The 9,386-nt window shown below is 38.0% G+C and overlaps 1 protein-coding gene across 4 annotated transcripts in view, besides 2 other annotated features; it reads left to right on the top strand.

Moving 5' to 3' along the window:
- Positions 274–9,386, top strand: part of WDR49 (WD repeat domain 49) — a 179,240-nt gene continuing 170,127 nt past the window's right edge. For 3 of the 4 annotated variants that reach the window (NM_001366158.1, NM_001348952.2, NM_001366157.1), the window contains exons 1-2: positions 4,255–4,363; positions 4,698–4,936. Coding sequence is in view for 3 of the 4 variants with exons in the window: in NM_001348952.2 (NP_001335881.1) it covers positions 4,772–4,936 (165 nt within the window). In the remaining variant the exon portion in view is untranslated. Of the gene's footprint in view, positions 498–4,254; positions 4,364–4,697; positions 4,937–9,386 lie in introns of those variants that run through there. The other variant, NM_001348951.2, reaches the window with a different exon arrangement.
- Positions 3,995–4,517: an enhancer, noted in NCBI's record as "OCT4-NANOG hESC enhancer chr3:167371468-167371990 (GRCh37/hg19 assembly coordinates)". NCBI's record gives its function as "activates a minimal SCP1, AML or CMV promoter by ChIP-STARR-seq in naive H9 embryonic stem cells {active_cell/tissue: H9 hESC(naive)}" and the evidence as "EXISTENCE:reporter gene assay evidence [ECO:0000049][PMID:30033119]".
- Positions 4,518–5,041: an enhancer, noted in NCBI's record as "NANOG hESC enhancer chr3:167370944-167371467 (GRCh37/hg19 assembly coordinates)". NCBI's record gives its function as "activates a minimal SCP1, AML or CMV promoter by ChIP-STARR-seq in naive H9 embryonic stem cells {active_cell/tissue: H9 hESC(naive)}" and the evidence as "EXISTENCE:reporter gene assay evidence [ECO:0000049][PMID:30033119]".

The raw sequence follows: 9,386 nt of genomic DNA, 5'->3' as shown, positions 1-9,386 counted from the left end.
AGTTTATGCAGAACACCATGTTGGGCAATGTAAGGCTGCAGCATTAGTGAGGTATCATCCCTGTTCTTAGGAGTTAATCTAATGGGAGAGAGAGATACACAGACAACTAATTACATTACAAAGCAGGAAGAAACAGTGCTGTGTTTAAAGTCTGAAAAAAATGCTGTGGTTGCAGAGTGAAAGGAGTAATTAATTCTAACTGGGAGGATAAGGAACAAAGAAGGAAAGAAACTAATATCTGTTGAGGGCTTAAAAGGTGCCAAGGGCAGGGCCAGAGCTTTCCCCAGGCTTTGAGAGGAGGTTCCTTTACACAGAGCCAGCGGGTGTCTGGGGCTTTGCTGGAAGGCATGAGGTCAAGAGGCAAGAAGATGATGGGAAAAACATCCTTTCTTTCTCTTCCTGTAGCAGTGAGGACTTGAGAAGGAGCAGTGAGGACTTGAGAAGAACAAGGAGCAGTGAGGACCTGAGAAGGCTGGGCCGGAAATGAGGTTCCTAAGGTAAAACTGATTTCAGTTGAAGTGAGGAGGTGGAGGGAGAATTTAGGCAAAGATTAACGAGTAAGAACAGGCTTCAGTGTGAATGGTGGGCAAAGAAAGAAAGAGGAGTTAGAAGAAAAGGAAAAGGGAGATCTATATGTTGGTGGGGATAAATTGTGGGGGGGGAGGAGAATGGGGCTAATGATCATAACTGCCTTGTAGGGCATGTTATGCTCAGACATGTGTCTCTGAGCAATGGTGGGCATAGAGATGTATCTCATTTGTCTTTATTATTAGCTGAACCAGTTTTATCATTAGATTTATTATATTATGGTATACTGTGTTTTTCTCACATTTTCAATAAGTTGGAAGCTTTTTTGGACCATTTCTATTTTATATACATAGAAACTAAGACAAAAAGAATATAAGGAATGGATTCCTATCCTTTAAGAATAAAACATTTTCTCTGTGTAAAACATACAATTCCAGAATTTAATGCTCTTTTCTTTGGCTAATCATATTGTTTCATAATATGTATCCTACTTTGTAGAAAATATAATGGTAAAAAGTAGTCCTTAAATAATATAAAAGGAAGGTCTATATTTATGTCAGTGGCAATAAATTGTGGGGGAAGGAGAGAGCAGGGATTTGGGTGTGGACTGTGAATTGTGATAAAGACACAGATGGGTGTGTCTATTCGGTGGGGAGAATTATTCAGTCCCAAAGTGTCAAAGGCCAATGGATGTATCAGCTTACTCTGCCCTCTTGGTGCTTAGGGCTCCACTATGCTGGCAGGTGTTGTCTGATCCCTACAGGAGAAGGGGGCAAGTGTCAATCTGCTTTTTGGCCTTCTAAAGGTGATTAAACTGTCACCATCTTGATTTTCACAATATCATACTTGATTCATGGCAAGCAAGAGGGAAAATTTCACCAGTCAAGACACTAGTTATGGATTTTACAGTGCCGCAGGAATTTAACCTGAAAATTAACCACACAGTTACAGAGAAGGTTAGAGCCATTTAAGCCTTTATGATCAAGAATTATTTCTAATGTCATAATTTTATAGCAAGAAAACTGTGTCAATTGATTAACTTCTACTGTAATTTGTTAGCTGCTCATTATACTTTCCTGTTTTGACTAATGAAAACATTTAGGGCTGCAACTTTATGGAAGCTAAGTAGGCCAGGCATCTTGTCTGTCTTAGAATAATTAGAGAATTTTGCATTGTCAGCCAGTGGGATACCTACCTCTCGTGGTTCATCTTTACAGAATGTTTTTCCTATTTCTTCTCCCTTCCCTCATTAGTGTCTGCTACTGAACTAAGCCCAACTCTCTAGAATATCACTATAAAACATTTTACAAACATTTATGGGGCTGATCCAGCTGATTTAAAGTATTATTAACTTACTAACTAGGGTGATAAGAAGACAAATCGTGTTCCCATGTAAGATAACTTAGGGGAACTTGTAGTATTAGGGCTTAAAAATGTTTTCCTAACTTACAAGAAGGACTTATCGAAGAAAAGCAAATCTGGTAAATACACCCCCGTTCTGTGTGTGTGATACATATCAATACATATATACACATCTATAATGCCACTCTTTCCCTTTGAGCCTAGCTATGGCTTCAGAATGCTCTGAACACAGCACTGTGTTGGAACACTGAACACAAGAGGTTGGAATTGGCATTAAAGATGAGCTAGACGGATAATTGCCCTGACTAGACTGTAAAGCCCTTATGGCAGGCACCAGGTCACAATTCAGGACTTGACATATATTAGGCATATATATATATAGAGAGAGAGAGAGATAGAGAGAGAGAGAGAGACAGTGTCTATCTCTGTCACTCAGGCTGGAGGGCAGTGGCGTGATCTTGGCTCACTGCAACCTCCGCCTCCCAGGTTCAAGCGATTCTCCTGCCTCAGCCTCCCAAGTAGCTGGGATTACAGGCGCCTGCCACCATGCCCAGCTAATTTTTATATTTTTAGTAGAGACGGGGTTCCTCCATGTTGGCCAGGCTGGTCTTGAACTCCTGACCTCAAGTGATCTGCCTGTCTTGGCTTCCCAAAATATGGAATTACAGGCATGAGCCACCGTGCCCTGCCTATTAGGCTCTTAATAAATGTTTTTTTTGAAAGAATAATGAGAGATGGATGAAAAAATGAAAGCATGAATGAAACTTCATTTTTTTCTATAATGGGTACAGGAACTCCTACAGGATGCTCTTCTCTCTGTTCTGTACCATGCCTCTAGTGAACACCAGCTCAGAGAATGTTAGAGCCGGAAGAGACCCTAGAGAAGATGTAATGCCAACTTTTTAGTTTACAGAAGTGAAAATAAAGTGCAACGGGCACATCCATCTAAAGTGCAGTGATACAGTTGGGCAGTGTCCCCACCCAAATCTCACCTTGAATTGTAATAATCCTCACATGACAAGGGCGTGGCCAGGTGGAGATAATTGACTCAAGGGGGCGGTTTCCCCATACTGTTCTCCTGGTAGTGAATAAGTCTCATGAGATCTGATGGTTTTATAAATGGGAGTTACCCTGCACATGCTGTCTTGCCTACTGCCATGTAAGTCATGACTTTGCCCTCATTAGCTTTCTGTCATGATTTTGAGGCCTCCCCAGCCATGTGAAATTATGAGTCAATTAAACCTCTTTCCTTTATAAATTACCCAGTCTCAGGTATGTCTTCATTAGCAGTGTGAAAACAGACTAATACATGCAGTATCTGAAGTTTGGGAGCCATTCTGTTCTCTTCCGTATGTTACTATTTGTGTGACCTTTGGCATTTTCTTTGCTTTTTTTTTTTTTCTTTTTTGAGACAGGGTCTCATTCTGTTGCCCAGGCTGGAGTGCAGTGGCACAATCTTGGCTCACTGCAACCTCTGCCCCCCAGGTTCAAGGGATCCTTCTAACTCAGCCTCCCGAGTAGCTGGGATCACAGGTGTGCGCCACCATGCTCGGCTGATTATTTTTGTATTTTTACTAGATACAATGTCTCGTCATGTTGCCCAGGCTGCTCTCGAACTCCTGAGCTGAAGCCATCCACCTGCCTCAGCCTCCCAAAGTGCAGGGATTACAGGCGTGAGCCACCTTGCCCGGCTTTTTGCTTCTTTATCAGTAAAATGGGGATAATGATCACATCTGCCTTGTAGGATTGTTGTGAAGCTTAAACAAGACAATGAACATAAAGTTTTAGTGCCTGGCACATGGTTAATACTCAAAAAATGTTAATTTTTCTTCTTTTTCTCCTCCTTTTCATTATTATTAGCTGAACCAGTAATGACACTGCAAGCAATTTTATCATTAGATTTATCATATTATGTTATGCTGTGTTTTTTTATCACATTTTCAACAAGTTGGAAGCTTTTTTGAACCATCTCTATTTTATATACATAGAAACTAAGACAAAAAGAATATAAGAAACAGATTCCTTTTATATAAAAATAAAACATTTTCTGTGTATAAAACATAAAATTCCAGAATTTCATGCTTTTCTCTTTGACTAATCATATAGTTTCATAATATATATCCTATATAATGGTAAAAGTTGTCTTTAAATAATACAAGATGTCGTTTAATAAAAAATGAGTGGAATGAACTGTCCTTTTATTTCAAAAAAAACCATTTCAACATTTACATTATATATTTAAACTTTCAGTTGGAGAGGGGGAAGTGAAAGGGAAAGTTTTAGTTGGCTTTGTGTTGGTTGCCAGGAAACATACAAAAGGATCAGAACAGATGAAACAAACAACTCCACATTGCTGGGAAGGTGGCATTCAGAGTCAAGTACTTCATTGGTAGGGAAACTCTGCAGCTTTGTCATCTAACTCTTCCAGACAAGAAAGTGGAATTGAAAACTACAACATGTTAATGGAAGCAAGGTTAGTTAAAGAGATTTTTGGGAAGGTGCTTTTCTAATGCATTTAAAATGAGGATTGGAAGTTGTTTTCTGTGTCAGTTACTATAAATGTGGGGAAAGCTTTACACATTTTTAATCAAGCCAGGTTAAACAGAGTATAAGGAAGGGGTAAAAATACCATTTTAAAAGCATTCAACTGTAAATTTTGAAAATAAACTCTAGAATCAAATAAGTGAGAGGGTTGAGGGCTTTCATTTCCTACCTCAGCTTGAACATTTTGCCTCCTGATCGTATGCCTTGAAAGGTTTGTACTTTCATTTTGGAATTCTGTTGCTAAGTTGAGTTTCTTTTCAAAGGCACCTGTTGAAGGAAAAAGAAGATCCATCCTTATAGAAATAGTTGAAGGCAACTGAGAAAAGGTGAAGCCATTATGAGTTGCCAGAAAGCTGTACTTGAGTTAAACATAGGGTCACAGCTTGGGCCAAAGAGTCCTGAGAGAACAGAAGGTGTAACTGCATTTGAAGACTATGGCACAGGCCTGCTTGAAAACCAACTCAGCGTGGGTGACTTTGTAAAAATACAGAAGGCCTTTGAGGTAAGTGTGAAGCTTATTGACCAGATAGTTTGAGTTGTTCATGAAGGAGCCTAGAATGAAACACAGAGATATTTTTCTTTAAGCATTAAAAAAATACACTTAATTGTTATAGCAGAGAATTAAAAATAATTGGTTAGGCCTGGATTTAACACAATGTGCTTGGTAGCTTTGCCCCTCAGTTCTTTGGGCCAAATAATATTCTTTAGTTTGAAATTGCTTCACTGAATTTCATTACTATCAAGAAAGAACTATTTATTGTTGGAAAAAATTTTTTTCTTAGAGATCAACATATTTTGGGGAAACAAAAAATTATGGCTGTGAGTGAAGAAAGCCAGATCTCTAAGGTGACCTCCAGGAATAATTGTTCTTGCATTTAATACGGACATAGAACTCAGCAAATGCAAATATGCATACCCAGTTTGCAAAAAATTTCCTCCTGTCTCACTCACCCTAAGTGGCACAGCTCCTTTTCTAAGCTGATTCTGGCACTTTGTTGTCCCAAGATCCCTTATGAGGGACGAGTCTCCCACTCATTTTGTAAATCCTGGAACAATGCCAATAAAAACAAAATTAGAATTTTTCATTTTAACTCTGCATAAAAAATAAACCATAGGAATTTAACTGTAAATGAATAATTTTCTTCTCTCTTAGTCAATGAATTTTGAATTCTGCAGCTATGCATAATGAACAGCATACATCAAAGTGGTTTTTAGTTTCAAATATGGGTAGAAAGAAGTGCTCTTCCATGACGTAGAATTTAGGTAGTCATGAGCCTCCAACATTTCTACTATATTATGTTTACTAAAGTATGATCTAGGGCCTTCTTAAGATTGTCCGTGGGTGCTTGGAGTATCCATACTAATTTGAAATAGAAAATATTTTGGAATACCACCTGGAAATTAATAAAATATAATAAAAGCTCACAATATATTAGCCTGTAATAGGCACACATTTTTATCTTTGGATATCCACAAAAGAATATAACAAGTTGGGTTCCACCTGTATTGATAAATTAATGTCCCAATAGTATCAATCATTTCTTTATAATAGAACTTATCATATTTAGTAGCAAGACATGCTCTGTCCTACACTTTTCTCATTTCAACCTTCATATATTTGCTATTCAACCAACCTCATTTGTCTGAAAGATTTCACTGCTGCTGCTCATGCCCAGTGCCCCAAGTAAATTTAGCATATTTTGATAGACATAGCAAACATTTTGACAGCTTGAGGACATTCAGTAAAACATAACAGCAGATTATGACAGCTTTGACTCTATAGTGAACAGAAATGTGGCAGTTTTGTTCCGGTGCTAAGAACACAAAGAATTTGAATGCTAGGGCCTATTAGGAGAGTCTACATTATAAAGTTGATGTGTTGGTGAAACTGCTTCAGAAGGTTAGAGGTGGGTGTTCTTTCCAAACTGCAGATTAGTCTTGAATGAACCCAAGTGAAACTGGAAAATTCAACCTCAAGTTTTAATTTATTTCTATTTTATGTTAAATATTTCAAAGGCCAGACCACTTATTTTGACATTACCGGTTGGAAAAGCAGGAACTAATGGACCAAAGAGGAGAAGAGAAGGTAATTCGGAGCTTGTATGAACATAGACAGTTTTTCTAAAAAAGAAATTGAGCTTTGCAGGTGTACCTTCAAAAAAAAAAAATGAAGTTCATCCATTTTAGCAGACTCAACAGCCAGAGAATGGAATAATCCCATGGCACATGTGCAGCCAGTACTAAAAGTTAGACCTTTGAGCCAACATGATTTCCAAACACAGCACGGACACCTAAAGAAGAATGATGCACTAGATGACTTTAATGGTATCCAGTCCATCTGTCATGAGTTTTAGGCCCAGAGGCCACAGGTATAGATTGCTGTAAAAGGATAAAATGCCCTCAATAGCATTCCTGCAACTTTGAACTCTAAAGGCAGTGATTTGTGGTCCAGTTACTAAGGACATGCTCTTAGAAATGTCAAGATTCTGGCACCAGATTCCTTTATATCTTCATTTTTTTTTTCTTACACAGATTGCTTGTTTGGGGCTGAAGAGTTGTCAGATATTAGGTGAAGTCCATCTCCTTAAATAGCAGTGGCAATTCTTAAGTGAAAAAACAGGAAGTTGGGTCTTTGAATTATGCAGTAAATGTTTTACGTGTATTTCCGAATAAAATATCACATACCATACTAATCGTAGTAGTAACATTTAGGAATAAAGCAATTAGTGCTTATGTTCATTGTGCAGTTGTATAAATGGATCAGAATCATGCAGTGTTTCAGATCTAGGAGTCAGATTTCCTGAGCTTAAATCCCGGCTTTGCTACTTACAATGTGACTCTGTGCAAATACTTAATCTCTCTGGGCCTCAGTTTCCTTTATTTCTAACATGAGGATAACAGAGCTTTCATGAAGATTAGAGGAGGTACTATCTGGAAAGCACTTTAAAAAGTGCATGCCACAGAGAGTAAGTGCTCAATTAACATTAGATAATTGAGCTAATTATCTCATTTAGTAAGTAGAAGTTAAACCATGTGACCTCTGACAGTGCCTTGATTCTAATTCATACTTTTCTTAAAGGAAATTAAACTTCAAGTGACACTTGCTGCTATGCGTCTTCATTCCTATTAGTTGTGGAAGGAAGTGGTTAGAGCTGCAAAGACATAAATTCACATAGAAGAGTCAAAAGCATAATTGTTCTATCTCTCATTTCATATTTTCTTAGCAGGCAAAAATTCTAATTGACGTCTTGATTCTTTTCTTTGGAACAAATAAGTTACCTGGGTAGAAGCACAGAAAAGTAACTTGTGGATTTCATTTTCCTTTAAGTGATGGTGTCAAAAGAGCCATATATCAGCCTGAAGGGAGAGAAACTTGCATTATTCATAGAATCGTAAAATGGTTGTTACTCAAACTTCCCTGTAGCACTTACAATACTTAGAGAAATGACATGGTCTCTGGATGCTCATATTATTTTGATGTCAACCATATTTTACATTTTCTTTGAAACTCCAAAAGCCAACTATTGTTTGAGGAAGAGTAGCTGTGGTTTGCTGATTTTATAGGAGTGGTGAGAAGTAAAAATTTTGGTCTAAGGAAAATGGAACTTTGGGAAAGCCATGGAGCTTGATATTTATTGAGCTTCTCCTGAGAGTCTGGCTATGTAGGTTCTGAGTGTTTCTTTTTTTACATTCTCCATTGTTGATCTCTGTATGTCAATGATGGTTTAACATTGGACCTTGATCCTAGATTAATTGCTGCCCGTTTGGTCTGAGACCATAGTTTGCCCTGTGCTCCTGGGCTCTCCAGGTTAGGTCCTGAACTGCCTTTATCAGCAACTGTGTCTATATCTTCTCCTGGCACACCTGTTCTGGCCTGACTGTAAGCTGAGAGCTGGAGGCTGGCTTTACCCTGTCAGCTCCATGCTATCATTTGCCCAAGCCCTACTAAATCTTTAGCTTTAACTATACCTAGAAGCCACATGTAAAATGTGAGGTATTTATCCTTAAAGTAGGAAGGGCCAAATAGTTTTAGTGTAAGAAAGGCACAGTAAAAATCCTAGCAAGACTGCCCCAGAGACTGTGTGGTGAGAATTCTTAAAACAAATCTGTCTTGGAGGTGAATGAGATCTAAACACAATGCACTTATTCAAACTGAATCTCAAAAGACTGGAGAAGTTCAGTAGTCAATTCTGCAAGTTCTAGAATTGTGCTTAACGGGTAATACAATTACATTTAAAGAATTTTGATATTCTCATCCTTGATTATCTTTATAAAATTCCCAAAACACCTCAACAGTATCTTGGGGATTTTAGAAAGCATTCTACAGCAGGGTCTATGAACTGTGCTTGTTTGCTTCAAGACAAAGCTGAGGATGTTGATGTCCTGCCAGGCAAGCTAGGCTCTACAGGAATATAGAAAGTCAGATTGGGCCTTTTCTTACCTTTTTTTTAACTTGTCCTTCTTTCTAAACTGTCAAGCTTCCTCCAAATTTATGGAGGACCCATCCTTCTCTAGGCCTTCTCATTGCCCATTGTACCTTCACTACTAAGGTACCCAAATGAACAGGTCTTCCTAGACGTGTCTCATACTCCAAAACTATTCTTATATCTTCCTTCTTGCCTTTCTACCCAGGCACCACCATCCCAAACACATAAATAAAATTACTCATTTTTGTTTCACTCCCTTTCCCCAGAACCTTTAGATGTTCTTATCTCTGATAAAATGAGATGGTCCATAAAGTTCATTTAAAATTTTTTCTTAGATAAAACTGTTAAGGTATAAAGTTGGATATTATGCTATCCAACAATGCTGAGAATTAGAAAATATTTTTTATAGTGTATGCAAACTGTGTAAAATATATAATATCTGCAACATGACAGAGGTATTATTTCCTGTTCACATAAAGTAAAAAGCAGGTATTTCTAATGGGTAAGCAGTTGCAAGCAAGGATT

The sequence above is a fragment of the Homo sapiens genome, chromosome 3, assembly GCF_000001405.40.
Source record: "Homo sapiens chromosome 3, GRCh38.p14 Primary Assembly".
Taxonomy (NCBI): Eukaryota; Metazoa; Chordata; class Mammalia; order Primates; family Hominidae; genus Homo; species Homo sapiens.
Note: the sequence above shows the minus strand (reverse complement) of the source record. Positions and strands in the feature narration are given on the sequence as shown.